General features: G+C 36.9%; 1 protein-coding gene across 22 annotated transcripts in view, besides 1 other annotated feature; it reads left to right on the top strand.

Annotated features, from left to right (window-relative positions):
• The window catches only part of DMXL2 (Dmx like 2), a 174,981-nt gene that overhangs the window by 47,097 nt on the left and 110,782 nt on the right, over nt 1-17,102 (top strand). For all 22 annotated transcript variants that reach the window (NR_165648.1, NR_165649.1, XR_007064435.1 and 19 more), the window contains exons 3-6: nt 7,117-7,188; nt 10,509-10,587; nt 11,415-11,550; nt 12,228-12,294. Coding sequence is in view for 19 of the 22 variants with exons in the window: in NM_001378460.1 (NP_001365389.1) it covers nt 7,117-7,188; nt 10,509-10,587; nt 11,415-11,550; nt 12,228-12,294 (354 nt within the window). In the remaining 3 variants the exon portion in view is untranslated. The remainder of the gene's footprint in view (nt 1-7,116; nt 7,189-10,508; nt 10,588-11,414; nt 11,551-12,227; nt 12,295-17,102) is intronic.
• Nucleotides 6,352-6,858: an enhancer, noted in NCBI's record as "H3K27ac-H3K4me1 hESC enhancer chr15:51861014-51861520 (GRCh37/hg19 assembly coordinates)". NCBI's record gives its function as "activates a minimal SCP1, AML or CMV promoter by ChIP-STARR-seq in naive H9 embryonic stem cells {active_cell/tissue: H9 hESC(naive)}" and the evidence as "EXISTENCE:reporter gene assay evidence [ECO:0000049][PMID:30033119]".

Below are 17,102 nucleotides of genomic sequence, written 5' to 3'. Positions count from 1 at the left end.
GTTGTTAATATCTAATATCATGCTTGTCATATAGGAAGTGCTTTGTAAAGTCTGTTAACATAATGAAAGATTTTTTGTTGAGTGAAGAGTCTTATGGTTCATTCAGGCTTTAAAACAGAGGTTTTATTTTGAAATAGTTAAAATTTCATCATATGTACCTCTCCCCCAATTTTCAAACATAATGTACATCAAATTTTGGTGGCATGTCAAGTAAATATAGGATGTTTGCTGTATACTCCAGCAATTCAGTAAGGCCAGTATTATGTAGCCGAGTTGAATGTCTCTACGAGAATAGAGTAATAAGGTTTTTACCTGTAATCATTGTAACAGTTTAAACAATCTTAGTGTTCTAGAAATTGTTATTTATTGGGTAACAAATTTGATCAAGAGTATGTTAAATCAGAATATTCATGGTGATAAATAGTAATCATACAAATTTATACTGAATGATAAATTATGGTTACTTTATCATACCATTTATCCTGCCCTATCCTACTGCCCATATCAAGCCTTAATATTTGTGTAAATGTACCAGTACTTGACAGTTCAGTGATACATTTGACCTAGTATTGAAACACGATTTCCTGGTGTTTCCTGGTACTTGTTTCTTGCTTTTCTAATTTTTCCCCCCAGGTACTCCCCACCCTCAAGCATTGCTTACACTTAGTTTAGAAAACATGGGGAGTGTCAGATTTCTCTTTTTAATTTTTTGTTGCTCTTCTCTCTAGGCCAAGCAAGGTAGCTTAAGCCTGCCTAAAGTTGTATGATAGTTGTCAGAGGTGAATTTTAGTAAATAACTCAAGTGCTGGTGATAATCGCAATGAACACACATTCTCTGGAAGTAAAACTTTTTAAAAAAGTATATAAGACATTGGTATTCATACCATGGGAAACAGAGCAACTTGTGTTTCTACTTTTCTTGAGATGGTTTAATGTAAATAAGGCAAAATTATAATATCTTTATTGTCTTTATTGACATCTTCGTTTAGTCCTTTTATCCCCCAGTCCTTGTGGTGATAACTTTCACATTGGTGACCTTGTATTAGTCTGTTATAATCATTCATTCATTGATTGACATGTTGAATGGAATTATTCACAACACTTTTTGCGTAAGTGTCATTTGAAGTAGCTTTCTGTTGTGGATTATGATTTTTCTTGGAAAGAATGTTAGATGTTGGATAAGAGTTAAAATCACTTTTTGGTATAACAGTGCCTTAAAATCACAGGGGATATTTTTGGCAGGCCTTAAAAGAATATATACCTAATTGAGTTTTAAAGGTTAACCAGGGTGCAGAGGTGTCAGAAAGGACGGTTTTTGGTCTATTCCCTGTAGTTAATTCCATCTTACCAAGAGGAGAGTGAACTTAGAAATAGCCTTCAAGAAATTATTGGAAAACAGGCTGTGGTAGTTTCTGGGAACAGAGGGATTTATGTCTTTTCTTACCAGGTATGTGACCTGGAACAAAATCCTCCTGGTCCCTAAATTTCTTGCTTCAGTCCTCTGGAGATGTCTTCATCAGCTCTTTCCCCCAGGTGCAGTTTATGGCTCCCTGACTTCTCCTTAGCCTGTTTTTTGTATTCCTTCCTCTAGATGGTGTCCCAATTGGTATTTTCTGTTTGATGGTATAATTAGGCCATTTTATTTGAAATATTTTTAAGACCTGTTATTAGTTGATGCTTTTCTCATAGATTTTATATTATTTTCACTGGATTATAAAGTTTCTGACAAAGATGCATGCTTTTGAAATGTATTTTTTAATAGTTATTTTATATTAAAAATAAAATTCTTATGAAAAATATGATTTTTTCCCATATGTATATATATATTTTTTATTATACTTTAAGTTCTGGGGCACACGTGCAGAACGTGTAGGTTTGTTACATAGGTATACACGTGCCATGGTGGTTTGCTGCACCCATCAACCCATCATCTACATTAGGTATTTCTCCTAATGCTATCCCTCCCCTAGCCCCCCGACCCCCTGACAGGCCTCAGTGTGTGATGTTTCCCCCAGTGTCCATGTGTTCTCGTTGTTCAACTCCCACTGATGAGTGAGGACATATTGTTTGGTTTTCTGTTTGTGTGTTAGTTTGCAGAGAATAATGGTTTCCAGCTTCTTCCATGTCCCTGCAAAGGACATGAACTCATCCTTTTTTATGGCTGTGTAGTATTCCATGGTGTATATGTGCCACATTTTCTTTATCCAGTCTATCATTGATGGGCATTTGGGTTGGTTCTAAGTCTTTGCTGTTGTGAACAGTGCTACAATAAACATACATGTGCATGTGTCTTTAAAGTAGAATGATTTATAATCCTTTGGGTATATACCCAGTAATGGGATTGGTGGGTCAAATGGTATTTCTGGTTCTAGATCCTTGAGGAATTCCCACACTGTCTTACACAAATGGTTGAACTAATTTACACTCCCACCAACAGTGTAAAAGCGTTCCTATTTCTCCACATCCTCTCCAGCATCTGTTGTTTCCTGGCTTTTTAATGATCACCATTCTAACTGATGTGAGATGGTATCTCATTGGGGTTTTGATTTGCATTTCTCTAATGACCAGTGATGACGAACATTTTTTTTCATATGTTTGTTGCTTATCAGCTTAAGGAGATTTTGGGCTGAGACAATGGGGTTTTCTAAATATACAATCATGTCATCTGCAAACAGAGATAATTTGACTTCCTCTCTTCCTAATTGAATACCCTTTATTTCTTTCTCTTGCCTGATTGCCCTGGCCAGAACTTCCAGTACTGTGTTGAATAGGAGTGTTGAGAGAGGGCATCCTTGTCTTGTACTGGTTTGCAAAGGGAATGCTTCCAGTTTTTGCCCATTTAGTATGATATTGGCTGTGGGTTTGTCATAAATAGCTCTTATTATTTTGAGATACGTTCCATCATTACCTAGTTTATTGAGAGTTTTTAGCATGAAGGGCTGTTGAATTTTGTCAAAGGCCTTTTCTGCATCTATTGAGATAATCATGTGGTTTTTGTCATCGGTTCTCTTTATGTGATGGATTACATTTATTGATTTGTGTATGTTGAACCAGCTTCTTATCCCAGGGATGAAGCCGATTTGATGGTGATGGACAAGCTTTTTGATGTGCTGCTGGATTTGGTTTGCCAGTATTTTATTGAGGATTTTTGCATTGATGTTCATCAGCCATATTGGTGTAAAATTTTCTTTTTTGGTTGTGTCTCTGCCAGGCTTTGGTATCAGGATGATGCTGGCCTCATAAAATGAGTTAGGGAGGATTCCCTCTTTTTTTATTGTTTGGAATAGTTTCAGAAGGAATGGTACCAGCTCCTTTTTGTACCTCTGGTAGAATTCAGCTGTGAATCCATCTGGTCCTGGACTTTTTTTGGTTGGTAGGCTATTAATTATTGCCTCAATTTCAGAACCTCTTATTGGTCTATTCAGGGATTCAACTTCTTCCTGGTTTAGTATTGGGAGGGTGTATGTGTCCAGGAATTTATCCATTTCTTCTAGATTTTCTAGTTTATGTGTGTAGAGGTGTTTATTGTATTCTCTGATGGTAGTTTGTGTTTCTGTGGGATCATTGGTGATATCCCCTTTATCATTTTCTATTGTGTCTATTTGATTCTTCTCTTTTTTTCTTTATTAGTCTGGCTAGTGGTCTATGTATTTTGTTAATCTTTTCAAAAAACCAGTTCCTGGATTCATTGATTTTTTGAAGAGTTTTTCATGTTTCCATCTCCTTCAGTTCTGCTCTGATCTTAGTTATTTCTTGCCTTCTGCTAGCTTTTGAATATGTTTGCTCTTGCTTCTCTAGTTCTTTTAATTGTGATGTTAGGGTGTCAATTTTAGATCTTTCCTGCTTTCTCTTGTGGGCATTTAGTGCTATAAATTTCCCTCTACACACTGCTTTGAATGTGTCCCAGAGATTCTGGTATGTTGTGTCTTTGTTCTCATTGGTTTCAGAGAACATCTTTTATTTCTGCCTTCATTTTGTTATTTACCCAGTAGTCATTCAGGAGCAGGTTGTTCAGTTTGCACGTAGTTGTGAGGTTTTGAGTGAATTTCTTAATTCTGAGTTCTAATATGATTGCGCTGTGGTCTGAGAGACTATTTGTTATGATTTCCATTCTTTTGCATTTGCTGAGGAGTGTTTTACTTCCAATTATGTGGTCAATTTTAGAATAAGTGTGATGTGGTGCTGAGAAGAATGTATACTCTGTTGATTTGGTGTGGTGAGTTCTGTAGATGTCTATTATGTCTGCTTGGTGCAGAGCTGAGTTCAAGCCCTGGTATCCTTGTTAATTTTCTGTCTTGTCGATGTGTCTATTATTGACAGTGGAGTGTTAAAGTCTCCCACTATTACTGTGTGGGAGTCTAAGTCTCTTTGTAGGTCTTTAAGAACTTGCTTTATGAATCTGGGTGCTCCTGTATTAGGTGCATATATATTTAGGATAGTTAGCTCTTCTCGTTGAATTGATCCCTTTACCATTATGTAATGGCCTTCTTTGTCTCTTTTGATCTTTGTTGATTTAAAGTCTGTTTTATCAGAGACTATGATTGCAACCCCTGCTTTTTTTTGCTTTCCATTTTCTTGGTAAATCTTCCTCTATCCCTTTATTTTCAGCCTGTATGTGTGTCTGCATGTGAGATGGGTCTCCTGAATACAGCACACTGATGGGTCTTGACTCTTTATCCAGTTTGCCAGTCTGTGTCTTTTAATTGGGGCATTTAGCCTGTTTACATTTAAGGTTAATATTGTGATGTGTGAATTTAATCCTGTCATTATGATGCTAGCTGGTTATTTCGCCTGTTAATTGATGCAGTTTCTTCATAGCATTGATGGTCTTTACAATTTGGTATGTTTTTGCAGTGGCTGGTACCAGTTGTTCCTTTCCATGTTTAGTGCTTCCTTCACTAAGGAAGGAAGGCCTGGTGGTGACAAAATCTCTCAGCATTTGCTTGTCTGTAAAGGATTTTATTTCTCCTTTGCCTAAGAAGCTTAGTTTGGCTGGATATGAAATTCTGGGTTGAAAATTCTCTTTAAGAATGTTGAATATTGGCCCCCACTGTCTTCTGGCTTATAGGGTTTCTTCCAAGAGATCTGCTGTTAGTCTGATGGGCTTCCCTTTGTGGGTAACCCGACCTTTCTCTCTGGCTGCCCTTAACATTTTTTCCTTCATTTCAACCTTGGTTAATCTGATGATTATGTGTCTTGGGGTTGCTCTTCTCGAGGAATATCTTTGTGGTGTTCTCTGTATTTCCTGAATTTGAATTTTGGCCTGTCTTTCTAGGTTGGGGAAACTCTCCTGGATAATATCCTGAAGAGTGTTTTCCAACTTGGTTCCATTCTCCCCGTCACTTTCAGGTATACCAATCAAACATAGATTTTGTCTTTTCACATAGTCCCATATTTCTTGAAGGATTTGTTCATTTGTTTCACTCTTTTTTCTCTAATCTTGTCCTCTTGCTTTATTTCATTGAGTTTATCTTTAGTCTCTGATATCTTTTCTTCTGCTTGATCAGTTCGGCTATTGATAACTTGTGTATGTTTCATGAAGTTCTCGTGCTGTGTTTGTCCGCTCCATCAGGTCATTTATGTTCCTCTCTAAGCTGATTATTCTCATTAGCAATTTGTCTAACCTTTTTTCAAGGTTCTTAGCTTCCTTGCACTGGGTTAGAACATGCTTCTTTAGCTTGGAGGAGTTTGTTATTACCCACCTTCTGAAGCCTACTTCTGTCAGTTTGTCAAAGTCATTCTCCATCCAGTTTTGTTCCCTTGCTGGCGAGGAGTTGTGATCATTTGGAGGAGAAGAGGTGTTCTGGTTTTGGGAATTTTCAGCCATTTTGCACTGGTTTCTCCCCATCTTCATGGATTTATCTACCTTTTTTCTTTAATGTTGGTGATGTTGATAGTATTCCTTTATGTTTGTTAGTTTTCTTTCTAACAGTCAGGCCCCTCTGCTGCAGGTCTGCTAGAGTTTGCTGGAGGTCCACTCCAGACCCTGTTTGCCTGGGTATCACCAGCGGAGGCTGCGGAACAACAAAGATTGCTGCCTGTTCCTACCTCTGGGAGCTTTGTCCCAGAAGGGCACCCGCCAGATGCCGGGCAGAGCTCTCCTGTATGTGGTGTCTGTAGGCCCCTACTGTGAGGTGTCTCCAGTCTGGGTACACGGGGGGGTCAGGGACCCACTTGAGGAGGCAGTCTGTCCTGTATCAGAGCTCGAATGCTGTGCTGGGAGAATTGCTGCTCTCTTTAGAGCTGTCAGGCAGGGACGTTTAAGTCTGCTGAAGCTGTGCCTGCAGCCGCCCCTTCCCCCACGTGCTCTGTCTCGGGGAGCTGTGGTGGGCTCCACCCAGTTCAAACTTCCCAGCAGCTTTGTTTACACTGTGAGGGTAAAACCATCTACTCAAGCCTCAGCAATGGCGGATGCACCTCCTCCCACCAAGCTCGAGTGTCCCAGGTCAACCTCAGATGCTGTGATAGCAGTGAGAATTTCAAGCCAGTGGATCTTAGCTTGCTGGGCTCCGTGGGGGTGGGACCCGCTGAACCAGACACTGGAGAAAATTTCCTGTTCTGCTGGTTGTGAAGACCATGGGAAAAGTGCAGTATCTGGGCTAGAGTGTACTGTTCTTCCCGGTACCGTCTCTCACAGCTTCCCTTGGCTAGCAAAGGGAAATTCCCTGACCCCTTGTGCTTCCCATGTGAGGTGACGCCCCACCCTGCTTCAGCTCAACCTCTGCGGGCTGTACCCACTGTCCAGCCAGTCCCAGTGAGATGAACCTGGTACCTCAGTTGGAAATGCAGGAATCACCTGCCTTCTGTGTCCATCTCGTTGGGAGCTGTAGACCAGAGCTGTTCCTATTCAGCCATCTTGGCAGCTGTCCATCCAAATATGATTTCTTTGAATAGGTCAACCTTGTATATGATATGTAAAATAAAGCCTGCTGAATTTTTTGATAACAGGGGAGAGACTCTTAACTCCAGTACACTTCCAGGTATATTTATGGAAGGAAATAAACCATGAATACTGTATTGAGATTATATGTAATTAGTTTATACATTATTATGAAAAGGAAGATATCTTTATTTTACCCTTTTCTAGATATTAATGCTGTATTTATTCTTTTTTAGATTGCAGCTTCATATGGTAATGCTGTTTGTATATTTGAGCCCTTGGGCATAAATTCTCATAAAAGAAATTGTGTAAGTATTAACCAATAATAGAATACTTTTAGAATCTAGTTAACTTTAGAATCCAATTGATGTTAATAAAAAGCTCCTTAGGAGCTAGTGCTGAAAATAGACTAGAGTATCAGTGAAAAATTGGTCTAGTGCTTTATGTTAGGATCCTTACATTCACTACGGATACATCCCTAGTGCTTTTAGAAACCCAAGTCTCTAGAATATTGCAAATTGACATTTACTGTGTTAACTGAGATCTACCCTAGTTTGAACTACTGTTATTTCTTGTCTGGATTACTAATATCTATCTGATATCTGGTTTCCTGCTGCCTTCAGCCCCAGTGTCTGTTCTCAACAGAGGAGATCATGACATTTCTCTGCTTAAAACTTTGTAATGGTTCCATATTTCTCTCTCTTTTTTCTTTTGTTTTGAGACAGGGTCGCACTGTATCCCCTGGGCTGGAGTGCAGTGGCATGATCACTGCTCACTGCAGCCTCAACCTGTCAAATGGTCCTCCCACCTCAACCTCCCAAGTAGTTGCGACTATAGGCATGTACCACCATGGCCAGCTAATTTTTAAATTTTTCGTAGAGATGGAGTTTCCCTGTGTTGCTCAGGCTGGTCTTGAACTCTGGGGCTAAGTGATCCTCCCACTTCAGCCTCCCAAATTGCTGGAATTATGGGCATGAGCCACCATGCCCAGCTGCTCCATATTTCTTTCAGATAAAAAGCCAAAAGCCTTTTGTAGACTACAACTTCCCTTCTACTCAGTAGCACAGTTACTATGTCTCAGAGCTCACCTCGTAAGTTCTTGTCCTCTCTGGTTCTACTCTGGCCACATTGGCATTTTTACTGTTTCTCAGTTAACCTTCCCTCTTTGAGCCTTTGTGTTGTTTGTTTTCTTTGTCAGGAATGTTTTTCCTCCAGCTATCTCCAAGGATAGCTCCCATAGATCCTTTAGGTCTTTGCTCACTAATACCTTGTCAATGAGGTTTACCTTGACCACCCTTTAAAAAATTGTACCCCCACTTATCTTGCTATTTAAAAATTTTTTTACAGCATTTATTTATTTATTGTTTACTATGTAAAATGTTATCTAAAGGTACATAAGGGTAGGAAGCTTTTTTCACTGATGAGTCCCCAGTACTTAGAACAGTATCTGGAACAGCCAGGTGTGGTGGCTCACACCTGTAATCCCAACACTTTGGGAGGCTGAGGCGGGTGGAACACGAGGTCAGGGGTTTGAGATCAGCCTGGCCAACATGGTGAAACCCCGTGTCTACTAAAAATAAAAAAATTATCCAGGTGTGGTGGCACGTGCCTATAGTCCCTGCTGCTAGGAAGGCTGAGGCAGGAGAATCGCTTGAACCCAGGAGGTGGAGGTTGCAGTGATCCTGGACTGCACCATTGCACTCCAGCTTGGGAGTCAGAGCAAGACTCCATCTCAAAAAAAAAAAAAAAAAAGTATCTGGAACATAGTAGGTATTCCTAAATGTTGGTTGAATGAAGAAGTTAGGAGTTTAAAAAGCTCACTTACCAGCTCAGCTAAGTGGTTAAGCATACCACATTGTGAACCATTCAGATTCATACTGGGTGCTATATTATATTTGTCTTACTTAATGTTCAAAACATCTAATGTGGTTAGAATTAAGCCCTTTAAAACATCCTGCATGCATTACATTTTTACCATCACTCAGAAATAATCAAAATTGCAAATGCTAAATCTGAATGCTGAGTATATATTTACAAATAATTTTTAAAGTATATTTTTAAGTGAAATGCCTTAAAACAAATGGTTTTGGTATTTTTTCATTAAATATATGTATTTGAATATATCTTTTTACATTCCCCCAAAACAGTATAAATTAAAATATTAATCTTTCCCTATAATAGTATTGTGAAATGGATATCAAATTTTGGACTACTTAAGAGTCACCTAGAGCACATACTAAACATTTAGGTTTCCAGGTCTCATTCCCCAAATTTCTTCAAGGTAGTTGCTCCACAGATTGCACTCTGAGGAACACTAAAGGAAAGAATATTAGGGATGTCTATAATTTTAGGAATTATTTAATTACTACACTAAAATAGATTTGTTGAACAGTATTTAGTGTTATGCTGTTGTGATTGTTGTTTGGTCAGCAGTGGTAGGGTTTAAAAATAGCATTTTCTCTGATTATAAAATATCAAATAATTTTTGGATAATGAAGTGCAGGGTTTGCAGATGCACACACACACACACACACACACACACACACACACACACACACACACCCCACACACACATTTTTTTTAGATATAGAGTCTTGCTCTGTGACCCAGGCTGGAATACAGTGGTGTGATCATCATAGCTCACTATAACCTCAAACTCATGGGCTAAAGTGATCCTTCTGCCTCAGCCTCCAAAGTAGCTGGGTCTACAGGTGTGAGCTCCCATGCCCAGCTAATTTTTAAAGTTTTTATAGAGATGGGGGTCTTGCAATGTTGCCCAGGCTGGTTTCAAATTCCTGGCCTTAAGCAATCCTCCTGTCATGGCCTCCCAAACTGTTGGGATGCAGCTATGTTTTAAAATTCTGCCTTGAGGTAGTCAGGAAACCTTGTATACATTTTAAAATTGTTAAATATTCTTAAAATATTATAACACAAAATGGCATTACCGTTTAAACAGTATTATTTGCCAAGCCGTTAACATATAGCTTGCCTAAGGTAACATAGCTTTGCAAAGCTTTTCACAAATGTCCTCTCACAAAAGGACATTTTATATTTATGTACTACAAAGAAATATGTAAACATTTAACATCTTTATGCCAGCCATTACAAACGCTGAAGATAACAAAATTATGACACAGTTTCTGCCCTTGAAGAGTTGCAATTTAGTGGGAGGAGAGTCAGATGTATAGACCAATACTAATTCCATGTGATCAGTGTTATAATGGCAGAATGTAAAAGTGGTATTGGTGCTGCCAGGATGTCAGAGAAGGCTTCATAGCAGAGATGATGAGTTAGCTAATCTTAGTGGAAGGATAGGGGTTTGCAGATGGAGACGTGAGGAATAGGATATCCTAAATATAAGAAGGTATTTATAGGCATGAGAAAAAGCGTGAGAGAACCTGCTTTGTTTGGGCATGGCAAGGAGCTCAATATGGTATAATAAATAGTAGTGGAACCAATGAAAGTTACGTTAAAAACAGTATATGAAAATAATAGTGAAATATTTTCATCTTTGTTCCAGATCTTAAAGTCTTAAGTTGAAGAAAATGATAAAATGGTAGTGTTTTGGGATATTATTTGAAAAACATCTTTTTCTTTTTTCTTATTTCTTTTTGTCTACGTATTTCAGCAACTCAAGTGCCAGTGGCTTAAAACTGGGCAGTTTTTTTTGAGTTCTGTGACATACAACTTAGCATGGGATCCTCAAGGTATTTAGCAATTGTATTTAAAATTATTTAAATTAAATATTTGTTTTAAATGTATGATAATAATGTGATATAGTCTCCCATAATAAGAAAATGATCAATGTATTATATTTTCTTTTTGTTGATGAATATAATTTTTCCTTCTTGGTATACAGTGCTTTGTGCAATGCTTAATTTACTATTCTGTTTTTTCCCCTGCCTTTGTGTGTTTTATTTCAAGAAGCAGTTATGATTTGTTTCCTAGTTAATGTGTACTGCCCTTTACTCTTGTTGTATTTGCTAAGAAACACCATTGGAAATAAAACAGAGACCAAAAAAACTTCACCTCATTTTATCATTTGTATCAGGAAATTACTATCTTTAATTTTGAAAAATTAGGAATTTCTAATGATAATAGCTGTTGTCCCTTTTTATATTCACAATTAATAAGGATTCTTTTTATATTTCATGTGTAAAACCACATTTTATTAATTTGTAGTTATGCCTTATATCTCGAGGACATTTTATGTGGTATATATCAGAGTTTTGGGGACTTTGTTATTCTATTAATACATTTGTTGTTAGTTTTTTTGACTTGCTTGATAATAATAGCTCTTTGCCAGTAAGCTTTACTTTGTTGTTCTCAAATCTTCCTTAAGAATCTTTGTTGTCCAGAAGATTCTTTTTTCTTATAAGGGACTTTAAAAAAATATATACCAAGTGTTTTTCGTTGGCGATATTGCTTACTTTTCACATAATATTAATAGTTTACAGATCTAAACAGAAGCCCATGTGCATTTATTTCCCTATATAATATTTGCATATTCATCATAACATTCTTTAATTTTCAGATAATAGATTGTTGACAGCAACTGATTCTATTCAGTTGTGGGCTCCTCCAGGAGATGATATTCTGGAAGAGGAGGAAGAAATTGATAATACAGTTCCTCCTGTTTTAAATGATTGGAAGTGTGTCTGGCAGTGCAAGTTAGTGTCTATTTCTATTGTTATATTCATTAATTAAAAGCAAGTGCTTCCTAAAATATGTTTCCTTTCACAAAGATCTTTATTTTTTGATGGTACCATTGCATTTAGATGCCTAGAAAGTAGATTTTTTTCTAACCAAAACCCATATAATAGCATTCTTTAATTTGTGCTATAGTTAATCATTTAAAAAAAGGATGAAAGTATTTTCATAGTTATAGCCCCAGGACAGGAGTTGACAGGGTTGATACATAGGAAATACTCATTAATAGATTGAGGTAAGGATGGAGAGGGGGAAGATGTGAAAGTTGCCAGCCACTCTTTCAAGTGGAAGATGTACTATTAACAGTCATATAGATTATGTGACGAAGACTAGTCAGGGATGATGATAAGCTCAGCTTTTAACATGTTATATTTAGGATGTTGGTGGGACATGTAGGTGGAGATATACTGTATTCATGTTACTTACATTCTTCTTTTCCCAAAGTGAATGTTGGATTAGTTTTAATAAATTTACATTTTTATGGAGGTGAAATATTTTATTTATATTTTTAGGGAAGCAAAAACAGTCTTATTCTGAGGATTCTGACTTTGATGTTACAAAAATCTCATCTTGACCATTTTTATATACAGTACACCAGATTTTAAAAGGGCTAATTGCCTAACTCTCTCTTTTTTAGAACCTCAGTATCTGTACATTTGATGGAATGGTCTCCTGATGGTGAATATTTTGCTACTGCTGGAAAGGTAAAGGATCAAACAAAAACATACGAAATAAACAAATAAAAGAATTTAAAATGTTCCTTATTTATTTTTATTTTCAGTTTTCTCATCTGTAAAACTGGGATAATCCTCCTTGGCAAAGCTGGCCTGAAGAATAAAAGTGGTGTTTGTAAAAGACCTGGTATTTTGCTCACAGGTTGTAGGCGCTTGGGAAATAATGGCTATTCTTATTACTCTTATTTGACCTTGGCTTATTTGCGTTTTTAAAAACTAAGTTTTGTGTTTAAAAATAGCATATGTACATAACTTAAAAAGTAAAATAATACTGGATTCACAATGAAAAGATGTACTGCTTGCCTCATTATTCCAACGCTAATTCCTGTGTCCAGGAGGCAATTATTTGTCAAGTTGAATATTTTGCTATTTCCTTCCATGTCCTTCAATAACTTGCAGGTGCTCCCATTTCTTGATTCTGCCCAGCCCCCTGAGTTATATATATTATTTTTTGCCTTCCCACTGTAGAAGCTGAGGCTTTAGCTTGATAAAGGTGAGGGGTTGATATCCCCAACATCATCTTCACATCTAATATATACACATATTCATTTCACTTGCTCCTATCTTCCTGATGTAGGTATCTCATGATTTTGGGTAAATCAGAAGTTATTGTTTATGTTATTAAGATTGTACAGATTATTCTTAATAGTAATTACTTTGGAGATAGTAATTGCTTTGTTTTATGGTTTGCTTTTTTTTCTATATACCTAATTCATCCTTAGAACTGCTTTGACTCTTTTCTCAGTATAATCCCACATAGGAGGTATTCTGGGAACATGAGTTCTCTTTGCTCTCATTCAGCTTAATTGCTCTACCAGTCTAAAATAGCAGAGCTACCATTTTCGGATTTTCTTTTACCAACTTTGGGAAATTCTCTTTGCCTCTCTCCTTTGTTAAATTTTCTGTTTCTTAGCATCATTTATCTTCCTTTTTTCTTGTTTTGATGGAGATATCCCCCAATAGGTTCCTGAAGAAAGGTGAATGGGAAAAAACATTTTTTCAGGCCTTACGTGTCTGAAAGATTTTTTTCTTATGCTTGATTTTCTCGGGCATAGAATTGGGTTGAAAAATCACTGACCTTCGATATTATATCTCAATAAACTTTTTAATTGATATATATATGGGATACATGTGATATTTTGATACATGCGTAATGTGTAATGATGGTCAAATTAGAGTATTTAGGATATCCATCACCTCAAATGTTTATCTCTTTTTGTGTTGGTAACATTTCAAATCTTCTAGTTAATTGAAATGTACAATATATTATTGTTAACCATTGCCACCCTACTGTACTATTGAACACTAGAACTTATTCCATCTATCTAACTGTGTATTTGTACCAATTAACCAATTTCTCTTCATCTCCTTTTTTAGCTCCCACATAAGATTGAGAAAATAACGGTACTTTTTCTTTGTGTGCTTGTCTTATTTCATGTAACATAATGACTTCTAGTTCCATTTATGTTACTACAAGTTATAGGATTTTGTCCTTTGTACAGCCAAATAGTATTCCACTGTGTATATTTACCACATTTCATTTATCCCTTCATTTACTGATGGGCATGTAGGTTGATTCTATATCTAGGCTATTGTGAATAGTGTTGCAGTAAACATGGGAGTGTAGCTATCCCTTTGATACACTGATTTCCTTTTTTTTGGATAAATACCCATTAGTGGGATTGATGAACTGTATGGTAGTTCTAGTTTTGTTTTTTTGAGAAAACTCCGTACTGTTTTCCATAACCACTGGCACCTGAGCAAGCTGCCTGTAGGCCCAAGGACTGGTCCTCCTGGACCTGTGACTACTGGCGTCTTGTATGCTGCCTGGGAGCCCAAGGGCCTGCATGCCTGGCCTGCCTCTGCCACCACGGGTGCCTCAGAACTGGCCTGTCTGGTGTCCCTGTCTGCAGCAAAGCCTCACTACAGCCTCTGCTACCAACCACAGCCTAAGCCAATGAGTAACTCACAGCCACCACTGACACTGACTACACCTGAAGAAATTGTATGAAGACTACTCTCCTGCACTCACCCAGAATCAAAGCCAAAGCACACTATCCAACTAACGCTACGACATTTGGGGGACCTGTTAAATCTGAAACTCATGTCTTTCAATTCTGAGAGATTATATTATTTCTTTCGTGTTATTTCTTTCTCTCTCTGAATCTTTTCTTATTCAGATATGGATACTTTTACACTAATTCTCTATTTTACTATCTTCCCCCTTTACTGTTGTCCACTTATTCATCTTTTTCTTTTAATTTCTGGGGGACTTTTCAGATGTAACTTCAAAGTAATTTTTTTCTGCTATTAAATTTTTAATTTTTAAGAGGTTTTAAAATTCTCTGATTTTTTTTAAATTACAAAATATTTCATAAATTAAAAAAGTATATATAAAACATGTTATATAAGATATAATAAAGAATAAACAAATACACATGTACCCTACTCCTCAACTTGAGACAAAGAACATAAAACAAATGGGTCCTTTATCTTTCTCCATGCATCTCCTTCCTCCCCTCCCACCCCAGGCAACCAGAATCCTGATTTTCATGTTTATTATTTTATTTAAAAAAGTTTCACTCATCTAAATTCCCAAATAAGGTAATATTTAGTTTTCCACAGTTCTGAACTTAACAGAGTTTGTGTTTTTCTTTTTTTTCTTTTCTTTTTTTTTTTTTTGAGACTGAGTCTCAATCCGTCACCCGGGCTAGCGTGCAATGGCACAGTCACGGCTCATTGCAGCGTTGACCTCCTGGGCTTAGGCAGTCCTCCTGCCTCAGCTGGGAATACAGGTGTGTACCATCACATCTGGCTAGTTTTTTTTTTTTTTTTTTTTTTTTTTTGGTAGAAATAAGGTTTCATTATGTTGCCCAGGCTGGTCTCTTTTCCCTTTATTTATGATGCCCTAAATTAAAAAAATTTTTCTTCAAACATGAACAGAAAGGTACTGAACTCCTATGTACCCATCACTTAGTTTCAGCAGTTATCACTCAGCCAATCTTGTTTCATCTGTACTACTCCTCCCCCAGTTGGATTATTTAGGCTTGTGTCACTGATGTCATTCGTCTGTAAATATTTCAGTATCTACTTTTGAAGTATAAAGATTTTACAAAAATATCCACAATATATAGTGAGTTAATTGTAGTTTGAATCTTGTTTAGGAAAATTTCTTACTGTGATGCTATAAAAGTATTCTTTTTTATTTTCTCCTAAAATCTTAAAATTTTAATCTCTTATAATTAAGTCCCTAATCCAAATGAAAGTTGTCTCAATAACATTTACTGAATAGTTCATTCTTTTTCCATTGATCTGCCATACCATTTCTGACATGTATTAAATAATGCTGCAGCAGATGTCTTGTACATGTCTGTTAGGCTCTTGTGTGGATTTCTCTTGGGTATATACATAGGAATAGAATTGCTGGGTTATATGTTATATGTATCTTTAATTTCAGTAGATAATACCAATCTGTTTTCCAAAGTTGATATACTAATTTACACTCTCATAGTATACAATAGTTCCTGTTGCTCCTAGCCAGTGCTGATGTGGTCTGACTTTTAAACTTTTGTAAATTTGGTAGATGTCAAGTACCACCTCCGTGTAGTTTTTTTTGCTTTTTGTTTTTTTAGAGACAGAGTCTTACTCTGTCACCCAGGCTGGAGTACATCGGCCGATCATAGCTCACTGTAACCTTGAACTCCTGGGCTCAAGCGATCCTCCTGCCTCAGCCTCCTAAGTAGCTGGGACTACAGGCATGCACCACCATGGCTGGCTAAGTTTTATCTATTTTTTTTTGGTAGAGTTGTTATCTCCTTATGTTGCCCAAGCTGGTTTTGAACTCCTGACCTCAAGTGATCCTCCTGTTTTGGACTCCCTAAGTGTTGAGATTACAGGCGTGAGCCACTGTGCCTGGCCTCCTTGTAGTTTTAAAGTGCATTTCCCTGATTATTAATGAGGCTAAATACCTTTTCATTTATTTATTGGGTATTTGGATGACTGATTTAAAAGAAAGTAACTGGGCAAGTTCCTTGCCTGTTTTTAAAATAGTTTTTGGTCTTTTGTTGATTTGTAGGAGTTCTTTATTATGGGTATGAGCTTTTTGTCAGTTACATGTTTTGCAAAGATCTTCTCCCACTCCATTAGTTGCTCATTCATTCTCTTAATGGTATCTTTTGATGAGAGATATTTGATTTTAATGTCAAATATATCAGTGTTTTTCTGAGTCCTATTTAATAAGTTTTTCATACTGTGAGATTCTGAGGGTTTTCCTATGTTACATAATCTTCTAGGCCAGAGTTGCTTTAAGTTTTTTTGTGCTGTGTATTCCTTTGCAAATCTAGTGAAGCCTATAATAACTTTCCTCGTAGTATGATGTTTTTAAATGCATAAAATAAAATACGTAGCATTACAAAAGAAATTATTGAAATACAGCTTCAAGATATTAAAAAATACGTTTGTGATAGAGACATTATGTACTTTTAAATTAATGCATTCGGTAACAAAAATTGCACTTAAAATATGGGCAGTTTTAATTGTGTTTAGCTATTGTATGTGGAATTAAAATTTCAGTATCTCACTTTCTAAGGTGAGGGTAGGCTTTCCAAGAACAACAAAATTCACTGAAGGCTTTTTGGGTTGATCTCTAGTTGTAGAAACGTTAAATTTTACTGTTTTATTGCTCAGCAGTTAGTTGGCACAGAGGTAGTTGCTTAACGGTTGCATGAACAATATAGACAGGAAGACTGCAATCATGTGCGGTTTAGTAGTAGTTCCAA

Source organism: Homo sapiens, chromosome 15 (genome assembly GCF_000001405.40).
Source record: "Homo sapiens chromosome 15, GRCh38.p14 Primary Assembly".
Taxonomy (NCBI): Eukaryota; Metazoa; Chordata; class Mammalia; order Primates; family Hominidae; genus Homo; species Homo sapiens.
This window is presented reverse-complemented; position numbering and strand designations above follow the sequence as displayed.